This window comes from Homo sapiens, chromosome 14 (assembly GCF_000001405.40).
Source record: "Homo sapiens chromosome 14, GRCh38.p14 Primary Assembly".
Classification (NCBI taxonomy): Eukaryota; Metazoa; Chordata; class Mammalia; order Primates; family Hominidae; genus Homo; species Homo sapiens.
In genome coordinates this window covers 92,447,427-92,468,697 of record NC_000014.9, presented here as the reverse complement: position 1 = coordinate 92,468,697, position 21,271 = coordinate 92,447,427, and the positions used below count along the sequence as shown (strand labels likewise).

The 21,271-nt window shown below is 50.8% G+C and overlaps 1 protein-coding gene across 9 annotated transcripts in view, besides 3 other annotated features; it reads right to left on the bottom strand.

Annotated features, from left to right (window-relative positions):
• SLC24A4 (solute carrier family 24 member 4) overlaps positions 1-21,271 on the bottom strand; it is a 178,901-nt gene that overhangs the window by 32,784 nt on the left and 124,846 nt on the right. For 5 of the 9 annotated variants that reach the window (NM_153648.4, XM_011536436.3, NM_153646.4 and 2 more), the window contains 3 exons: positions 19,482-19,624; positions 14,629-14,798; positions 12,090-12,294 (listed from right to left, as the gene is read on the bottom strand). In NM_153648.4, the coding sequence (NP_705934.1) occupies positions 12,090-12,294; positions 14,629-14,798; positions 19,482-19,624 (518 nt within the window). Of the gene's footprint in view, positions 1-12,089; positions 12,295-14,628; positions 14,799-19,481; positions 19,625-20,557; positions 21,261-21,271 lie in introns of those variants that run through there. The other 4 variants (XM_011536437.3, NM_001425254.1, NM_153647.4 and 1 more) reach the window with 2 other exon arrangements.
• Positions 7,528-7,597: an enhancer, noted in NCBI's record as "active region_8930". NCBI's record gives its function as "activates an Ori minimal core promoter by ATAC-STARR-seq in GM12878 lymphoblastoid cells {active_cell/tissue: GM12878}" and the evidence as "EXISTENCE:reporter gene assay evidence [ECO:0000049][PMID:35858748]".
• Positions 11,916-11,965: a silencer, noted in NCBI's record as "silent region_6033". NCBI's record gives its function as "represses an Ori minimal core promoter by ATAC-STARR-seq in GM12878 lymphoblastoid cells {active_cell/tissue: GM12878}" and the evidence as "EXISTENCE:reporter gene assay evidence [ECO:0000049][PMID:35858748]".
• Positions 18,441-18,941: an enhancer, noted in NCBI's record as "H3K4me1 hESC enhancer chr14:92916101-92916601 (GRCh37/hg19 assembly coordinates)". NCBI's record gives its function as "activates a minimal SCP1, AML or CMV promoter by ChIP-STARR-seq in primed H9 embryonic stem cells {active_cell/tissue: H9 hESC(primed)}" and the evidence as "EXISTENCE:reporter gene assay evidence [ECO:0000049][PMID:30033119]".

Genomic DNA, 21,271 nt, shown 5'->3' with positions numbered 1-21,271 from the left:
TATCCAGTTGTCCTAGCACCATTTGTTGAAAAGAGTATTATTTCCCCTAGTGAGTTGTCATTACCCTTGTCAAAAGCTAATTGGCCTGAAATGTAAAGGTGCATTTCAGGACTTCCAATTGTATTTCATTAATCTATATGTCTATCCTTATGCCAGTGCCAGACAATCTTGATTACTCTATCTTTGTAGTAAGTTTTGCAGGCAGAAGTTTGAGTTCTCCAACTTTGTTCTTTTTAAAGACTGTTTTGGCTATTCTGGGTCCCCTGCATTTCCATATGAATTTTAGGATCAGCTTGTCGGTTTCTGCAAAAAAGTCAGCTGGGGTTTTGATAAGGATTGCATTAAATCTGATCAATCTGAGGACTATTATCATTTTTAAAACGTTAAGTCTTCTAACCCTTGAACACAGGACATCTTTCCATTTATTTGATTGTCTTTAATTTCTTTCTACAATGTTTTGTAATTCAGCATACAAGTCTTGTACTGCTTTTGCTAAATTTACTCCTAAGTATTTTATTCTTTTAAATCCTATTGTAAATGGGAATGTTTAATATCATTTTCAGATTGTTAATGACTAAGGTGTTAAAATACAACTGAATTGTATATATTGATCTTGTATGCTGCATGTTTATTAAATCTAATAGTGTTATTTTTGTGTGGGTTCCTTAGGATTTTCTACACACAAGATTATGTCATCCATGAATTCAGAAAGTTTTACTGCTTCCTCTCTCATCTGGGTGCCTATTTGCCCTGGCTAGAGCCCTCAGCATAATGTGGAATAGAAGTGGCGAGGCACTACGTCCAGCAGGGCTGGGGGATGCTGAGTTTTGCTGCAGCATCAGCACACCCCTGTAAACTTATTCTTAAAAGCCCCCCTTGTAGCATAAGGCAGCTCGTGTGGGCTTCTGTGCTGGCCTATGAAGATCTGTTGGGTGGGCTTCTGTCACTGGTATTCTGTTCAGGACCCTGATACATGGTCCTAGGCAGGCCTTTACCTCCTACTTTTCCTCCCAGCACATGCTACACTGGCCTGGCTGGAGGGCAACATGGAGTGAATTTCTAGGGCAAGTGGCCTGGATGGTTCTGTTTGGTCGACAGTGTCCCTTGGGCAAGCCACCTCCCCTCTCTGTCCCTCAGCTTCCCACCTTAGAATATAAGAAAACTAGTCTAAAAATTCCCAAGACCCACTTTTAACTCTTGTTTTGCTCTTGATCTTAGGGGAAAGCTTTTAGTCTTTCACCATTAAGTATGATGTTAGCTTTGGGGTTTTTGTTGAGGCCATTAGTCAGGTTGATGAAGTTTCCTTCTATTCCTAAATTTGTGAGTGTGTCTTCATCAAGAAAATGTGTTGGATTTTGTCAAGTGCTTTTTCTGTGTCTATTGGGATGATCATCTGGTTTTATCCTTTACTCTAATAATGTGGTATATATCACATTGATTGGTCTTTGTATGTTGAACCAACCTTGCATTCTTGGAATAAATCCCACTTGGTGAACTCCATTTTATAAAGAGGAAAACCAAGTCCCATGAAGGTTAATGAACTACCCAAAATCTCACATAAGATTAGTGGCAGAGCCACAAACAGACCCTGCTTCCTCAGTCAGTGGCCTCTGTGCTGGCCTTTGTGGGGAGGGAGAGAGATGCAGGTGGATGTTGGAGTACCATCAAGGCTGGATTATGAATGACCACCTCACCATTGACCAATATTTGTGTTGTGCCTCACACCTCAGAGGTTGTTTTCACAAATACTCTCTTTGTTCCTCATATGAGCATTGGGGAGTATTTTTCCTGTTTCACAGGTAAATAAACTGAAGTTTGGTGAAATTCAGTGACTGACTGAAGCATCATAGACAATGGGAGATAGTACCAGGTCTCGAATGCAGGTCTTCAGAGTCTAAATCCTGGTCCTATGTACTGTACAGCTTGCCTGCCCTCTGAATCCTATTATTTCAGGGCCCATGGAAGTCCCTCTGCTACTTACCAGTGGGCAGGTGTCAACTGTCAGATTAGAGCCCCATACTTTTAGCTCATAGATTCGATCTAAACAGAAAAATCCTCCTATGTTTATGTGAAGCACTGAAGTTTTCCCAGTCTCTTCTTCCCTGGGGTGAATAAGCTTTAGAATCTAATTTTTGGTATTTTTATTATTTTTTTGTACCATTAAATTTAGACTTATTAAATTGATTGCCTGAGGGGTACTGCAGCTTTGTGGTAAACAGTAAGCTAGGTATCCAGGTTCAAATCCCAGCTCTGACATATGCCAGCATTAGGATGCTTAGGAAAGCATTTAGCCTCTCTGTATCTCAGTTTTCTCATCTATAAAATGGGGATAACAAGAATCTCCACCCCACTGTGCTACTGTGAGACTGAAAATGAGCCAACAAACATGACGTGTTTAGAACAGTGCTTGGTGCAGAGTCAGCACTCTAATTCCAGCTACTGCTGATATTAACCATGTTAACTTCCGCTTGCTGAGTAGCTACTATTGTCAGCACTGGGTTGGGTTGTTTTACAGAGACTAGAACAAGCTCAGAGAGGTCAGGTAACTTGTCCAAGCTCACACAGCTAGAAGTGGCAGACTCAGGACTCAATTCCATGGGTGTCCAATGCTAAGGCCTCTTAGCGACACTGTCCTACCTCCTGCAGGGCGGGTTTTGATGACCCTCAGGGCATTAGAGGGGCAAAGAGAAGCCCAATAGAAAGCAGAAGAGGTCAAGACCTGCTGTTGAACTGAGCTGTCACACTGAGGTTTGTGGGGAAGAGGAAGAATGAAAGGGATGATGTGAGGAAAAACATCAGGTATCAGCAAAGTCAGAGGCAGGCCCAGCTGAGTGCCACACACAGGTGTAGGTTGTCTGGGCTGGGGGTGGTGCAGAGAGACCAAAGGCCCAGGAAGAGACGCCTCCCTGGCAGCACCACATAAAGGCCTGGAGAGCTCTCGGGGGTCGGGAGGGGGCCTTCCTAGGGGAGGCAGCCTTGGCTTGGTCTCCTTCTCACACAGGCACAGTCGAGTGACACAGGGATCCTGTGTATGCTTCCTCGCTGAAGCAGCTGCCCTCGTGGGGAGGGAAGGAGCGGAGCTGCAGACCAGGCTCTGTCAGTCAAGGGAGAAGCCGGGCCCAGAGCTCCCTCGGCTGGTGCCGATCCCAGGAACCCCATTCCAGGGACCACTGGCCCAGCACTGCAGACACTCCCACAGCCCCCACCCTGAAGCTCTGTGGCTGCTCTGCAACTGGATGTAAATGGGTCCCAGAGCTGGAAGGATGTCAGGGTTGAAGCACCAGCTCCCTCATTCTAAAGATGACCTGAAGTTAAGGCCCGCTTTGCATCTCACCGCAGGGATCTCAAGGCTTCTGACAAAGTTGTCCTGTCCCATTACTCTTGATGGTGTGGCACTAGGGGGGCCATTAATCTCTCTGGGCCTCCATGTCCTCACCCGTGAGACAGTGATAACTGTCCCGGCCCACCCACTTCAAGGACCCCTGGGCAGATGAAAGAAATGCAAAAAGCACCAAGCATATTGCCCTGCCTCTGAAGGCCTCACCTTGAATTTGGAGGCCCTGGGGAGCATTAAATCGAGGCTGCATCAGAGAGACACCAACAGAATCAGGGAACACGTTGTTCTCATCTGGGAAATGGGGATACCATAAATACCAGCTACCCAGCAGGGCTGCCATGGACACTCTAAGTACTGAATAGAAGATGTCAGGCACGGTGCTGGGGCCAGAGCAGGTGCCTGCTGGAGGACACTCTGCTGTGTAGTTGTTGGCTGGGGCCTTGCCCTCCTTCGCCTCCCCCAGGATGCTCTAAAAGCTGCACAGGTTTCTTGGCGGCCCTTGGGTCTGGTCCATGTGAAGACACTGTTAAGATGGCTTCACTGCTTTTCTTCAGCTTCACTACAACGCCCGTGTAAGGGGACGTATGAAGCGTGACATCCTCGGCAGCCCCCATATTCCAGCCTCCTTCCAGTGTATCTGCAGAGGCTGGAAAGCTAACGGTGACATCTCCCAGAAGTTAAAGTTCTGGATTCAAATTAGGTCTCTGATTTGAAAAGCAGAATTGCGGTGAGGCTGGACCGACCACCTTCCTGCTACTGTCCAGCAGGGCTGGGGGATGCTGGGTTTTGCTATAGCATCAGCACACCCCTGTAAACTTATTTTTAAAAATCCCTCTTTTAGCATAAGGAGGCTTGTGTGGGCTTCTTGTTGCTGGCATGCGAAGATCTGTTGGGTGGGCTTTCGTTGCTGGCATTCTTGTTCAGGACCCTGACACGTGGTCCCGGGCAGGTCTTTATCTCCCCACTCCCAGCATGTACTATATTGGCCTGGCTGGAGGGGTGGCACAGAGTGGATTTCCAGGGCAGGTGGCCTGGATGCCTGGTTCTGTCTGGTCAAGACTGTCCCTTGGGCAAGCCGCTGGTCCTCTCCGGTTCTCAGTTTCCCACTTTGGAATATAAGAAGGCCACTCTAAAAATTCCCAAGATCCCTCTAGTATTCAGAGACTGTTTACTGCTAACCACAGAAAACTTAAAAGAATATTGCTTTCATTTCGATAAAAAATACTGAGTTTTCTTTTCTACGATGCTCTATTTGGTCTCTTAAAAAACCCACTCATAGCCTAAAAGTAGAAACCACTCAAATGCCTATCAACTGATGAATGGATAAAATGTGGCATTCATGATCCATCCAATGGAATATTCAGCCATAAAAAGGAATAAAGTACCAACACATAGTACAGCGTGGATGGACCTTGAAAACATCATGTTAGGTAAAGGAAGCCAGTCACAAAAGGCCACAAATTGCGTGATCCTCTTTATATGAAATATTCAGAATCGATAAGTCCAAAGACATAAGAAGTCGGTTAGTGGTTGCTAGGGGGTCGGGGGAGGAGGGAAGGGCAGTTATGGGTGAGGGGTGCCTTTTGGGGTGTTGGAAATGTTCAGAAACTGATGTTGATGACGATTCCACAATTTTGTGACTATATTAAAAGCCACTGAATTGTACACTTAAAGGAATGAATATTATGATAAGTGAAAAAGACCTGTTATATGAAAAAATAAGGACGCTCAGCCAGGTTTTGTTCTAATTTGTCTGAGAACTGATACCTCTGCGCACACAGAGTGACTGAAAAGGAAGCTCCTTTAAAATTCTGACCTTGACTTATGAGACAGTCAACCGAATGTGCAATTTCTCTGGTGGCTTCCGAGACCAAGGTAAGAACAAAATCATTTTCACTACAAAGTGCTGTGTGTCTCTGGGGGCCTGGAACAGACGAGAACTGTGTATGGAACTGCACATGTAAATGAGCCCACAGCATCCCCATTTCCTGCACTGCTGTCACCAACGTGCCGAGACGCTAAGAGGAAAGGACAGGAAGGCGGAGTGTTAAGAGAGTTCCATTTCTGCAGTGCCGCCTTCTGAGCTTAAAAGGACCACAAAGACCTCTCTCCTCCCCACCGGTAGAGCCCTCTCAAGAGCTATTTAAAACTGAAGAAGATGGGGGTGGATGGGGAGAAAAGCTCTAAAAGCTTCCCGAAATCTTCCGATTGCCTGTTCCGGGTTTTGCTATAATAACAGAAGAGAAGGCTGGGTGGTACCATCCAAGCCCTGAAGACAGCATGTGAGATTCCAAAGGCCCTTAATTCAACCCAATTCAACACAGTTTACTCAACACACACACAAATTATTTAGCACCCTGCACACACACTAGAAGACTAGCATCCCAGACGGAGGAAACCAATTCCCTTACGAGCTCCCAAGAAAAGAAGAGCAAAGAGTCCTTTGGTTGGGTGGTAGTGTTGTCCCCTAAGCACATCTGGGGTCTGGGGTCAGAGGCCATTGTGTAAATCCTAGCTCTGTCCCTTCCTCCTGTATGACCCTGGGCAACTCAGCCTCTCTGTGCCTCAGTTTCTTCACCTGTGAAATGGGAACAATAACATTATCCACCTCCCTAGGGTTTTAATGGGTTTAATGACTTAATGTGTATAAAGCACCCTGTCTCGGCTGGGCATGGTGGCTCATGCCTATAATCCCAGCACTTTGGGAGGCCGAGGTGGGTGGATCACTTGAGGTCAGGAGTTCGAGACCAGCCTGGTCAACATGATGAAACCTTGTCCCTACTACAAATACAAAAATTAGCCAGGCGTGATGGTATGTGTCTGTACTCCCAGCTACTCGGGAGGCTGAGGCAGGAGAATCTCTTGAACCCGGGAAGCGGAGGTTGCAGTCAGCGGAGATCATGCCACTACACTCCAGCCTGGAAGACAGGGTGAGAGTCTGTCTCAAAAAATAAATAAATAAACAAAAATAAAATAAAGCACCCTGTCTGGCCCAGAGTAAGTACTTAGTGCGTTTTACCTCCTGTTACTGTTCTAAGAACTTCCAAGGGCCTGGACTTTTGTGAAACACACACTTATCCCATCGTTTCTTCACTGAGAGGAGCCAAATTGCATTGCAGGCTGAGGGTACATACCTAAGGCCATGTGCTGGCTTCATGACAGCTCTGGGCTGGTGCTTTGGGACTCTGCTCCCGGCTGGACCAGATCTTGAGGGTATTCACAGCTTGGGAAGCACAGAGTGGAAAAGTGACTCCCTACCCAATGGCTGTGTGACTCGGGGAGCCCCGCAGCCTCTCTGAGCCTGTTTCCGCCTCTATAAATGAGGATAATATTCCTCCCTCACAAAGCAGCTGTGAAGATTAAATGAAAGTGCCTGGAATGAAGAGGCAGTACTCAGAGGATAGTGTCTGGTGCTCGGGGTGGAAACCCGGCTCATTGCACCTGCAGAGCTGCTGGGTGACCATGGGCAATCACTTACCTCTCTGTGCTTCCCCTTCCTTCTCTGTAAAGTGGAGATAATAAGCATTCCTACCTCGTTCTGTGGCAAGGCATGAATGAGGGGATACATGTAAAGCTCTTAGAAAAGGGCATGGGGCACAGATGCCCCGTGAGATCCTGCCATGAACTGAATTATTCCTCCCCCTACCCGCCTCCAAATTCATATGTTGCAGTCCTAACCCCCAATGTAACTGTATTTGGAGATAGAGCTTTTAGGAGGTAATTAAGGTACTAAGAGTGGGGTCCTAATTCAATAGTGGCCTCAGAAGAAGAGGAAGAGAAAGATCTCTCTCCACATGCATGCACCAAACAAACAAACAAACAAGGCCACGTGAACAAAAAGGCAGCTGTCTACAAGTCAGGAAGAGGGACACAGAACCCAACCATGCTGGCACCCTGATCTCAGACTTGCAGCCTCTAGAAATGTGAGAAAATACATTTCCGTTGTTTAAGCTGCTTCGTCGGTGACATTCTGTTAGGACGGCCTGAGCTGACTAATATAAGAATTACAGAGCAATAGAAGAATTCCCCATTTCCTGCTTAGTGCCTGACATATGGCAAGTCCCCAGTAGCTGTTTGTTGGCTGCTATAATAAAAGTGGCCACGAAGGCCAGCGTCCTGGTAAGAACAATGTGATTTCCTTACCGTTACGGGCGCAGGAGAGAGTCCTGTTGGCGGGCCAGGGAGCAGCCTCAGCAGGCTCACAAGATTCCCCAGACTATGCGCCACAACAAGCAAACAAGCTGCACCAGGAGACTTTCCCAGCTGGGCTGCGGCTCAGGGTCATTGCCGACCGTTTCAGGGCGGTGCCAGCACTGCAGACCATGGTTTCCACGGGCGAAAGCGCCTCTTCCTCTTTTTCCCCCTACCCACACCCACTCCTGGGAGGCCTAATTACCAGCCTCTGCAGTCTAAAGTGGGAAGAGTTTGCCTGTATTGGGTGTCCACCTGTAAATCCACCATCAGGCCAGGTGGGCACCGAAGCTGGGTCCTGCTGATGCTGCCGGGCTCCACCCCGGCAATCCCAGCGACCCGTCATCTGGGGTCAGCGAGGAGGGAGCAGGCTGTGGCCTCCCACCTCCCCACTTATCAGCTGTATGCTAGGGGTGGGAGACAGTGTATAAAGAACATTGTGTGGTCATCTGCTCAGATTTGCTCTGCAAGCCCAGAAGCTCCCAGAGGGCAGGGACCATGGCTGTCCTGTTCCTACCTGATCCACAAAGCCCAGAACAGAGCCTGGGCCCTAACTGTTTACTGACTGAGAGGATCATCTTGTCTGCTAAGTGCCTGAAGCCCAGACCTGGCACATAACAGGTGCCTGGTACACGATAATTCCCTCTCCTTGAGCCCTGGAATGACAGATCGTCCCAGGCCCCCAGGGATTCTGGAACCTACGATCTTTCTAGAACACTGTAGTCCCAAAAGGAGAGGATAACAGAAGCCACATGGTTAAAGCACACTAGGATTCACACTAACATTTGCTGAGCACCTACTGTGTGCCAGACACAGTGCACAGACCTCGACTAAAGTATCTGATTTGCTACTCAGATCAATCCTGGGAGGTAGGTGCCGTCACCCGCCACTTTGTGGATGAGGAATGGAGGTTTAGGAAGGTGAAGGAGCTTGCCCAGACTCACCCTGCTGGTGAGTGGCAGAACTGAGATTTGAACCCAGGATTCCTGCACTCCAGAGCCGGCCTCCCAGCTTGTCCTTCACAACACACGATATCTGCACATTGGCACGGGGCTAGACTCATTCCTTGACACCCGAAGCTATGCTGGTTCCGAGCTCACCAGCAGGGTGGCTTCCCCCTCTTCCCGCGGCCCCTGGCCCTGTGATTCCTCCCCTGGTCCTGTGATTCCTTCCAGCGCCCCAGCTTTGGAAAACGCTAGCTGCATCCACCCCTAAGAAACACCCTCAAAGCCATCCTGCAGCCCCAGGCCACTGTGAAACCTGAACAAGGGGTGGGTGGGGTGAGGTGGGTGGTGGCAGGGCCAGGAGCTGGATACAGGGTATTTCTGTCGGGGGCGGAGTCTCACTGACTTGTTCCAATTTCCTGTTAACCTCTGCCTACCCCGGGCCTCAATTTTCCTAGGCAGCTGTACACACCTAAACGAGAAGCAGCTGTACAACTCCGTTCCCACCGCCTGCTCCTCACAGGGGAAAGGGAGGAAGAAGAAAAGGAAGCCATTCGTGGTTTCCAGGGACAACACCTGGAAACACATCCGCAGACGCACAAAGGAGGTTTCCCCTGGGATGCAGGAAGCTGAGGCCTATTCCTGAGGGCAGGGAGGACACTCGCACAGAGGAAACGTGTGGAACTTGGCTCAGGCATGCACTGAGCCCAGGGGAACAGCCTAGAGCCTCTGGCTTGAGGAAGAAGGTGGGCCCCTATCTAGCAGGAAGTCCTGCCCCCAAGCAAGGGCAGAGCCCCTCAGAGGAGGACTCAGGGGTGCAGAGAACCTGGACCCAGGAGCCATCTGGTTCCAGCCCTTGCAAGACAGCTGCATTCTAAGCCTCTGACCCTGGGAAGTGACCTGTCCAGAGGCCGCACAGCCACTTCTCTATGGAACAGCAGCTCCCAGTACAAGGACAAGGCGAAGGCGTGGCTGGTCCGGGGTCCTCCCTGCACAATCCTGTCAAACTCTGGGCTTAAGGAATGGGAAGATGAGGCATCCTCACCTATGGCTGACTTGCTTAGGTAAGGATGACCAAAACGGGCACATCCCTTCCCCTGGTTTTCCTGCAGCGCCTGGACAGTGGACAGCCTTGATACCAGGATTCAGGTGAAGTGGCCAGTGCGGGGCAGTGGTAGCTCTGGCCCCCTCAGGCCCCACATCTGCAAAATGGGGATTCTGCCACCCACTTCAAGGGGTGGAGAAGGGGCACATAGAACTCTCCAGACAGCAAGTCGCTCCTCCTCGCCCCACCCCTCATAAGCTCGGCTGTTTCCTGGACTGTGGTTGCATCTCCCTCAATGCAGCCTGCTCTGGCACTCTGGCCCTCCCTGGCATCTGGTCTCCAGGACCCAAAGAACCGAAATTCCTTTGGTGACTGCAGCTCTGACCTTTCCCCAGCCCCACGTGGACACAGGAGGGAAAGTGAGCTGGGGGTGCGATAACTTGGGGCTGTAAGGGGTGGCCAGGGCTCGAATCACGGCCTGTGCCTGGACCTTCTGTGAATACAGGGCCCGTCCTGGTTCATCACCGTGAGCTGGTTCTCTGGGTGGACACACTGCCCTCCCAGCGCCCTGCCATGTAGAAATCTTCCCTCACTTGGTGAATCCAAACAGGTAATCTGGGAAGGGGACCTGGAATCTGGAGACCACCCCTCCTGCTCTTCATGTCCCACACACAGCCCTGGTGGCTGAGTTGACCCAAGCATGGCGTGACCTCTCTCCCCACCAGCCAGACTGGCTGAGCAGGGCCCCTGTTCCCCACAGAGCAGGTGGGCAGGTGTGCGGGCATGCCAGGGAAGCGTTTGAGACGGGCCGAGACACCAATCCCCTCGGCCTTCTGGTCAGCAGAGGAGGCCTGGGAGGCCTGAACCCCTGGGCTGGGCTCCTCTGTGACCCCAGTCAGGGAACACATTTCATTTTCTGAGTCTGCTCTTAATGTGAAGAAAGCCTGGGAGGTGTTGGCCAGCAATTCTGAACCCAGCCAGCTCCCAGGAAGCAAAGGGAGAGGGTTTGAAAATGCAGATCCCCAGGCCCTGCTCCAGGCTCTGGAATGTTCAGGTTCAGAACCAGGCCTGGCATTTTGGGAAGAGCCCCTGGATAGCTGCGACGAGCATGCCCTGGAATCTCTAACCCAGAGAATCTCTCTAACCCAGAAACTCCAGGGAAGCTCCGTGATCCTAAATGAAACCTGCATCTTCATGCGGAAGCATGAAAGCAGGGGGCAGGGCACCCCAGCCTGCCAGGCCCACGCCACCTACCGCAGGCAGGTGTTCCCATCAAGATGGGACAAGAGGCAGGACAGCCTCTGGCCCTCCAGAGTCACCTCCCAAGTCAGGTGCTCAGTGAGCCTGATGTTAAACACAGAATTCTTTTCAGAAAACATCAAGTTCTGGACTTGAAAGTTCTGGAATCTTGCCTCCTTTCAGGATGGTGGACATCAGAAAAAACGCCTCCAAGAATGGGGCCAAACAGCTTAGCTCGGGCCTTTGTTTCCCACTGAGGACTCCAGAGGACCTCACGGAAGGCTTAGTTAAAGACGAAGGCAGGCGGGGTGGGTCCTGGGATCCTCTCACACACGAACGCCTGGATTCATTTGACGGATACCTACCAAGCCCCTACTATGTGGCCAGTCCTGGGTACTGGGGATGCAGATAAATGCAGTAGACAAAAGTACCTGCTTTGTGGAGCTGACAGTTTAAGCAGGGCAAGAGACACAAGAAAAAGATAAAATATTTTAAATGCGGTAGTCAGGGAAGGTCACAGTGAAAAGGTGACATTTAAGCAGAGACCTGAAGAAGGTGAGGAAGTGGGCATGTGGATACCTGGGGAAACTGCATTCCAGCAAAAGGCAGGTGCAAAGGTCCTGGGGCAGGTGCGCAGTTCTAGGAATGACAGTGTGTTCTAGGAATGACAGTGAGGAGGCCGCTGTGGCTGCAGCAGGGGCCAGGAGAGGCAGAAGAACAGAAGCTGAGGTCAGCAGGAGTCGGCAGTCAGATGACATGGGGCCTCGCAGGTCAGACTCCAAGTGAGATGGGAGGACCCTGGAGGGCTGGCTGCAGAGCCTCAGTCTGATTGGACTTATTTATAGGTAGGAGATATCTTCAAACACACAAGGTATGACTGTCTAAGGATCATTTGTGGCCTTAGAATCTCCTGTCCCAGCAAATAAAGAGATGCATAGGCAAAATGGCCTGCTGCAAGGGCCAAGAGAGTGCAAGAATGTCCCTAAAAATAACACTGTGGACTGCTTTTCCTTGGCACAAAAGATCGACTGCACTGAACATTTAAGTGTGGTCACTAGGGGTCACTGGTGTTCTCCAGGCCTCCAGCCGCCCTGCTCTCTGGCCCGAGGCTCTTGCTGCACTTGGTGGTGCCCGCACCCCACTGCAGCTCTAACCCACAGTTCAGTACTGAGGACAGATTCGCCTCCTAAGCATTCCAGTGACCTAATATCGACCCTTTGCACCAGCCCTCTGCCGCCCTTACAAGTCCATGCCTCCATCCTGAAGACCTGGGCTTGGTCCTAATGGAGCCCCCAAAAATGTAGCCCGAGAGTCCAGTACCCCCAGAACTCACCCGGCACGGAGAAGGGGGACAGGAAGTCAGCCTCCACCGGCTCTGGCTCTGGCGGTGGTGGCTGTGGCGGCGGCTGCTGCTCCTGATTCTGCTGAGGGTCTTCGGGGTTTTCCACAGGAACATTCCCGTTCTCAATGTTCTCGTGCCTCCCGTTTTGAAGCGGCTTACTGCTCACACCATTGGCCGAGTTGATCAGTCTCTGCCGCTGTGTGGACAGGAGGCAACATGGACACCAAGGCATGTGATAAAGCATCATGCTATTGCTATACGCTGGGTCCCTCACACGCACCCTGCTCTTACAGGTGCCTAGAACAACAACCCTGGGGACAGGTTTGCCTGAGAATCAGCCCCAGGACCTTGGAATCCTTCTATGTTTGGTCACTTACATTTGCATGGTTACCAGGAAAACTTTGAGGATTTATCAGAGGGCCTGGGCCACCCCTTCCTACTGCCAGCTCGACAACCCAGCCCACGGCCCTGGTGACAGCCATCATTCGGGGCTCTCCCTGGTGACGTTCACAGCTGCCTGAAGATGGCCACAGGAAAGGCCCTGCGTGCATTTTGTAATTTTTAATTTTTTAGGTACATTATACAAAATGTACACTCACTGCCGGGCACGGTGGCTCATGCTTGTAATCCCAGCACTTTGGGAGGCCGAGGTGGGTGGATCACTTGAGGTCAGGAGTTCAAGATCAGCCTGGCCAACATGGTGAAACCCTGTCTCTACTAAAAATACAAAAACTAGCCAGCCGTGGTGGTAGGCCCCCGTAATCCCAGCTACTTAGGAGGCTGAGGCAGGAGAATCGCTTGAACCCGGGAGGCAGAGGTTGCAGTGAGCTGAGATAATGCCTGGGCAACAAAAGCAAGACTCTGTCCTAAAAAAAAAAAGTACACTTACACTAAGTGCACAGATTAATGATGTTTTACATCAAGATGTATAACATTTCCAGCCCCTTCAAAGACTCGCCTCAGGCACTTTCCTAGTCTACATACCCCTACTCCAGAGGTAACCAAGGCAACCACTTTGCTGACTTTTGTAAACATTGATTAGTTTTTCCTGAACTTGAACTTCATATAAATGGATTCAAGTATTAATGTATATTTTATGACTGGCTTCTTTCAGGCAACCAATAGCCATGAGATTCACCCAGCTTGTTGCATGAGTCAGCAGTTTGTTATTTTTCATGGCTGTGTAGTATTCTATTATATTGAATAACCCACGATATGGCTTTGCCTATTGATGGGCATTCAGATAGTTTCCCCTTTTTGGTTGTTATGAAGACTGCAGCTATGCACATTTGTGTACATGTCTTTTGTGGACATACAGCCTTTCGGTGTGTGTCACTGAAATTTTTAGAGCTGAAAGCATCCTGTTCAATACCCTCACATTAAGTGGGCTAGCGGCTGATGTGAGATTGAAGCTCAGAATTCCTTCCTTCTGGACCCGGCTTCTCCAGCTCTCCATGCTGCCTTCCAGGTAGTTCAATCACAACATGGTGGAAGATAAAGTCTTCCCAGTAGCTTAGAACATTTAGGGCATAATAACCAGTATCTCAGCAACTTACCAAAACCTATTCCTTTCCCGGCTATATATGCCATGAAAAAGATACTATAAATCCCAATCTCTAAATCCTTAAAAGTTATTCAACCCTCCCCACCCTCTCAGCACCCAGTGGGTACAATTAATGCATGCATGAAAGACGGCCTGGATTCGGTCAAATTTCATTGATTCAAATTTTACCGAATTGGACCGAAATGATTCACAATGATTCAAAACTTTGGAAAGGTGTTTCCTTTTCTTAATATACTTTCTACAGAGAGGGCACAGTACACATTAAATCAAAGAGAAATGTTTACAATATGAACCCGTAGGCACTGTGAAATATCGTTCTTGCATACAATCTATGTGTTAACTACTAATTATCAGCGATCACAGTTTGAAGTCTACCAACCCATCTGCTTCTCAGAGTAAGGACTTAAAATTCCAAAATGCACACATGCAACAAAGACTGGAAAAGTTGGTGAGCAATGAACCTATCTTTGCTATACTGTTTATACATTAAATAATATTAAAATCATTATCTCTGCAAGTGAGAAATAAAAGCACCCCATTTAAACACAGCAAGAGTGAAAATGAAGCCCCAGAGGTCACTGCTGCTCATTAGTGTCTTAGATTTCCTTCTGGAGTTGTTCTGTCCACAGAGAACAGGTGTGAACTCATCTTTTTTGTTTTGCCCTAAACAACATTTTAAAGAAATAATCCATACTTCAGGCTGGCCTTTCTCCAATTAGTTCTACTCTAGTGCCTGACAAAATACTTAGTGAAATATCTCAGGCAAGGTATTCGATTGCTGCAGGCTTTAAAATATCTCTTCAAAGGATAATTTGCTGCCTGTGGCTGATGGGCAGGCTTCTGGAGGCCCCAGGGCATCCTTCCTTAAACAGGTGCAGTGATCAATGGCACCAGGAAGAGCCCTAACAAGCCAAGGCCTCCTGCATCCAAGGCTGCTCACTTTTATGGTCCTTCAAGCAAACTCACCTCATTAATGATGATCCTGCTGGCCATCCGTAGTCGGGTCCTGGGTCCAAACTTATTGGTGATCATGATTCGTAAGCCTGCTTCAGGGAAGGTGAACTTGGGAGGGCTGGAGCTCATAATCTCGTCCACCATCACCACGGGGTTCTTGCCATACTGTGGCTTCTCCTTCACTGTTGAGCGCAACACCGTGATTAGTGCTGATCTCTCTGAGGACAACACCCAAGTGCTGGGGCCACTGACTTCCCCTCACCTTGTGAGCTGCCCTAGGCTGTGGTCCTGGCAGCTGGCAGCCACCGGGAAGTCTGGATGCCTGGCTTCAACTCCTCATGTCAGGCAAAGTGGGTCACTAGCTTTGAAACACCTGCTGACCTAGTGTGTGAAGCCCAGTGTGTCCCCTTGCTCCAGGACCACTCGTGGGCAATTGATGCTCTTTTCGCCTCTCTTCTGGGGCCCAGTCTTGGCTAATTACAAGGGTCTTTCAGTTCGTTATCTAAGCCTTACCAGGGCAGCCAACCTACAATACACACGGGGGCCTACCACTTTTCACCCATGACTATGAGGGGACCTTTCTTTCCCCCACGTACAGAGGCTCAGATGAAATTTTGCAAATTGACAAGGGTCCCCGGGGTGGAAAATGTTGCAGAGCAGTGGGCACTGGCTCTGAACTTCCTACGAGGCCACCTGCTCTGTCTGCAGGACAGAATGCTTGTAACTTTGTTCTTTATAAGGGCAAGTAGTGAGGTCAAAGATTTAGATCATGGGACCTAGACAGGCAACTAAGACCCAGGAGAGGAGCCTGCTTGTTTGAGGGTGCACGGTGAGCCGCTGGCTGAGCCCAGTGACTATAAACCCTGACACCCTCCGGAGGGAGGCTGGTCTCTCTGACCCTTTCCTTCCCCTCACAATGGGGAGGAACAAAACTCCCTGTCCCCAGACCTCTTTCTTGCCATCTTCATAAACCTGCACTGGGCCGGTATCCTTGGGAATTTCACATTTGACTCCAGATCCCTAGGAGGGTCTAGTTACAAAACTGCTCATGAACACAGCATGCAGAAGCAGGCAGAGTGTTCCCCTCCAAAGGGCTATAAAAATGGATAGGACTGTCCCTCTGCACTGGTTACCAGCTCCTGGTGTGTCCTTTACGGGTTTTAGGGTAACCAGCGAATAGGTCCGGAGAGCAAACCCGTGTAAGAGTTAATAGCACAAAAGCACACCAGACACACACACTCCTCACCAAACAGGCAGCAAGGCTCAGCAGACAGGAGGCGTGTGGGTTAGAAAACAAAGCCAGGAGAACATGCATTTGTCAGAGATGGACGCTAACCTCTAACGAGGCGCGCAGTGCGTTGGTGGGCTGGGCTTGTGGTTGGCTGTTTTGCTTGAAATGCACGTGTTATCGCGTGGATGAAAGCTGACTACTTACAATTTAGAAGAGGAGGAGAGTTAAGGAGACAAAGGCCAACAGAAACTGCCAGAGATGATTAGCGTGCGGTGGGTGCCGAGAGTCTGGGGCAGCACTCTTGGTGGTGGCGAAGATGCCAGGGGTTATGTGCTGGAGAGTGTTATTAGCGGGCTCCTTCTATGGGGAGCATCAACACTTGGGGCCTCTGGCCTTTGGGATGACTCCTGTCCTGGCTGATTCGATGGCTCTGCTTCCACTCTGAGGAGCAGGAGCCCCCTCCACAGCTCATGCCCTCAGCCCCTCACTGCTGCATGAAAGCTCAAATCCCTCCCTGCTCAGAAGCCTCCATCCCAGAGGAAGACGGAACCCACAGAAAACGCAGCTTCAGGCTCCATCCTACAGAACCAACCCCATGCCAGGTACTGCTGGAGGAACAACTGGGCTCAGAAGGAGAGAGCCTGGAGTCTGTGAGACAAGAGCCAGGCCTCCCCCTTCTCTAATTCCAGGAGTACAGGCCTGCACCCCCACTTCCTTCCACACTCTCTAGGTAGTATTCTCTCTTGGCCCTTATCTAAATGCATTCACTCTGATAAAAGCTACAGGAAGATGGAATTCTCCTTCCTTCCCCAGGATGCCTGCCTCCCGGGACAGCTTGTCCTGGTGTCCCCTGACCAATGACAGAACAAGGGTGTGTGCCCATGCCCGGAGTGGCTGCCGGGAAAAGAACTCAATGACAGCACATTCTCCCAGCAGTCCAGCCCCAGGCCAGGCATCACCCCCAACTCTCCCCACTCCAAACCAAGGCTGTGCCCAGGGCCAGGGCAGCCTGGAAGGGTCCACAGTGTGCCTCCTGGGCGAGGCCGGCAGGCAAGTGGCCCAGGCTGTGTTCAAGGCCACCTGAGAAGCACCAGGAGGCTGCTTTGGTGAGCCAAGCCACACAGCCTTTAAGAACGTTTCAGTACTCAAACGCCTTTTATCAGTGTGGTGGGGAAAAGGCTTTCTGCCCACTTTTCCTGTCAAGAAGCTGGAAGATAAAACTTTGGGTTTTCTATGGGAAACCCAAAAACTGAGAACAGCTCGATCGGGCCTGAGAGTGTGTGCTCTTGAAGAATCTCCCAGCCAGCAACCCGTGCATTCCTTTGGGTGGGGTGGCCACACAGCGACCTGCTTGGAGCTGGGCACAGGGAAAGAAACCCCAATGTCATCTCCAGCCAAAAGATTCCATGGCACCGCCCTTAGGAAAGGAAAAGCCCCAAAGCCCTGGCCTCCCCAGTCCCACCCAGGGTGTTACCGGGGGCTCCTTCCTCCTGCTTCAGTCGAGTCTACGCAGGGGACAGTGCAGAACAGTGACTCACACATGGCCCTCTGGGAGCCTCTTATGATAGGGGCAGTAAAAGTGGGGTGAAGAAATCCCCACGTCTGCCTCTCCAGGTCTCCCCTTTCTCCAATTCCAGGCGTCCAGGCCTGTACCCCACTTCCCTCCACACTTTCTGAGGACTGTTTTCTCCCTTGGCCCTTATCTAAATGCATTCCCTCTGATAAAAGCTGCAGGAAGATGGGATTCTCCCTCCTTCCCCAGTGCTTGGGGGCAGTCCTGTGTCCAGTCTTCCAGTTTTCCAGAAAATGTCCTGGACTTAAAGAGATTTGGGAGAAAATAAACTTGCAAGGAAGTGCTACTGTCACAGGCACAGAGTGATGGAGACAGTCACAGCAGTGCCAGAAAAGGCACTGTGTAGGCGGGGGCCTCTGGGAGCCTGGGTTGCTCTGGGAAGGTGAGGAGCTGAGGCCCCCATGCTGTGAATGAGGAATGTTTCCTGCAGGGTCCTGGGAGGTCTCCTGGGTTGGCACAGGTGGTGGGTGGCTCTTGGATGGGCATCTGCCACTGGCCTGAGTGACTCAGCACACAATACTTCTCTTCTTCACCATGAAGGCCCAGAGGACCCAGAAGCACCATATATACGACAGGGCAGCAACCAGCCTCTGTCCTGCCAGCCTGTGTGTGGGGACCAGGCTGTGTGTGGGGACCGTCTCGGGGCCACTGCGTCCATAGAGCTAAAATCCGACACAGCCGCCCTCATGGCTCCTTCCCCTTCTGAGGTTGTCCTGGAAACGGGCTTCCCCTGGGGTAGTCTGCTCAGCATTTATGAAACACGACACACGAATCAAACTCCATGCCCATCAGCTCCTCAGCTCTGTCCTTTGTGGGTGGGCCTCAGCAGCCAGGCTGTGGCCTGGACCGCACCCCGCCACCCTGGCAGGTTTCCTCCTTCTATACGGAGAGACTCCTCCCTCTTGGGGGTTACCTGAGACAGGGCAGAACAGACTCCCAAAATGCACATGGGAGGAAGCCCCTGCCTTCATCGGCTCCAGGATGATGACTGGAGAGGGGGCCCAGAAATACAGATTCTGCACCCCAGATGTCCCAGACACATCTGAGACCACTCCATCCCACCAGTGACATCACAAAAGAGTTCACCTAAAAGAGGAGGTGATTAGCCCCAGGCCATGGAGAAAGCGGGGGAAAGAGCCCCCAGACACCAGTGCAAGGCGCTCACCTGGTGAAGGCCTTGCCCAACACTGTGGGTGGAGGTCAGACCTGTTTTTCCATACCAATTGCAAGAACCAGCCCCTGCTCTCCTACTGGTCTGGGCTAGAGTGAACGCTCTCTCCTTCCCGGCAGCTGCCCCAACAAAGGGAGCCGCCTGGTCATTGGTCTTGGATTATTCAGGTTTCCAAGGAAGCCATCGGTCAGGCCCAGATGATTCAGAGAATTCAGTAAGACACGACAGCAGATGGCTCTGGAGGCCCAGACCCCCAGTTCCCGGACAAGGGGGCCAAAGAGCCGCTGGGGAGACGAGGCTGCTGCCCCAGGGGAAGGGGCTCCCCGGCGGGGCTGTCTGAGGCTGGCCTGGGGATGCCTGCTCAGCTTCATGTCTGCCTTTCCTGGCCTTGTTCTTCCTCCGGGCAACAGTTCCCAGCCCGAGAACCCATGCTTTGTCCAGAGCCGTTCTCCATCCAGGACTGGGTCTGGCATTTGAGAAACCGCAGGGAGGCCCAGGCTGGCTCTGCTGCCCCAGCTCCTCAGCTGCCTGTCGTGGGCCCTTACAGGGGTCAGGGATACCACTGCATTCTGAAGAGCCAAGCAGGCCTTACGCCTTTCCCAGAAGGCATGGGAAAGCGCCCAGAAACGTGGCTGTGGTTTTTCTCTTTCCTGGTGTAGTTTCCCTCCACCCCTGCCCCACCTAAGCAAACCCCATCTCCCATACTGACTCTCCCTCCTCTCTTAGGGCACCTGTGGTCAAAGGTAAGAGAGTGACAATTTAGAGGGGGGACATTGTGAGAGGGTGTGTGTGTGTGTGTGTGTGTGTGTGTGTGTGTGTGTGTGTACACAAAAGAGGAGAGAGTGGCTTCCAGGACACATTTCTGCCCACTCCTGTCTGCTCAGCCTTACCTTGCCCCAGCAATGGCACGGAAGGGTCATCATAGCTACCGTCATAGAAATCATTACCAGCCTCCAGCTCACTGTTGACCGGGTTACCGTTTGCAATGCTCTTTTGTTTGACTGTGAAAAAGGCTTGCATCTTCACATTGTACCTGGAAGCGAGGGGAGGCAGGAGGTCAGGGCAATGGAAAGGAGTCCCACCAACTGGGCAGCGGGTGGATCACACCCCATCCCTGCACGCAGTCAGCACAGCCCAGGAGTGGTGGGTGGCAGGGGAGGTGTGGAGCCTCAGCTTTTCAACTGGGCTGACAGTTTCCTGACAGGGACCTGGGAGCATTGTGTTGTCTGGTGGCACCTGCTCCTATTGAGCTGGTGGTGGACTTCCTGGAGGCATGAGAGAACTTTCACCTAAGAAAATGACTGAGGCCTACTTACTGGAGCCTGTCCTAATAAAGGAAGCTCGGCCTCGCCTCTGGGCAGGCTCGCAGGGGGCATTACCAGGCCTGTCCCCTCTCCCCCAGCAGCAGATCTTGCTCCCAGGATGCTCACGGGCACCTCCTGCACACTCACAGCCAGCACTGCCATCACCCCTGAGGGAAGAGTCTCTCCATCTCAAAGAACCTCAGGCGGGCTCTCGCTGAAAGGCACTCAGAGTGGAGATCATTTAAGGACAATGCTCTTGCAGTCTGATAGTTTATCACCCATCTTTATAAAACATTATAAATGTTTTATATAAATGTGGGATTTATATCCTCATAAAACCCAGAGTGTTGTCTTTTTAATTACGTATCGCGGTATGAGGAGGAAGATGAACCTGAACATGGCTCAGCTCATGAGTAGGGATTTGTGTGTGTGTGTGTGTGTGTGTGTGTGTGTGTGTATGTAGTGGGAAAAAAATATATGTCATAACATTAACCATTCTAACTACTTTCCCTTTTTAAGGGCACAAAACAGTGGCATTAATTACATTCACATTGTTCTACAACCATCAGCACGGTTCCCAAACCATTTGTATCATCCCAAACAACACTATTCCCACTAATCATTAATTCCTCCTTCTTTGCTCCCCAGCCGCCTGCACTGACCTCTGGTCCACCTCTATGAATCTGGCTCTTCTAGATCCCTCATGTAAGTGCAATCAGACAATAGTTGTCCTTTTGTGACTGGCTTCTTCCACTTAGCATAATGTTTTCCAGGTTCATCCATGTGGTAGACTGTCAGAACGTTATTCCTTTTTCTGGCTGCATAGTATTCCTCATGGGTAGTTTTGAGATGGTTCTGACCTGGGTAGCTTCTCGAGGGGCTCAAGGTGGCATAGCCTGAGTTTGCATCCTCAGTACTATCAGTGGTGCTGCAGTTGTACCAAGCACTGGCCCTGAGAAGTGGCATTTTATGAAGCCTGGGGCAGACCTGCCTGGCTTTTTGAAAAGAGTGGTATTAAATTATCAGAAGGCTTCTAGAGACAGCACAAGTGAGTGGTTACCCTGGGGCATGGAGAAGCTGCCCAGAGCAGGGCGGGAAAGAGGCCCTTGCATGCTACTTGTCTGGAGAGCAGCCTTGTGGTCCACACATCAGCCACCAGCGTGACTCCCCTGGCCTCAGTGTGGACGGCACCCCCGGAACAGCATCTGACACCCCTCCCCTACTCCAGCTGTCCCCCAGCAGGGTGTCTACCAGAGAGCTGGGGCTGGCCTAAAAGGACAAAGATCTGACAGATGTTTTTCTCCCTGCTGTCACAAAAGGCTGTAGCAGGCAGTGGGGCAAGGCGTCGGCAGCCCCGGGGAGGAGAAAGGGCACTT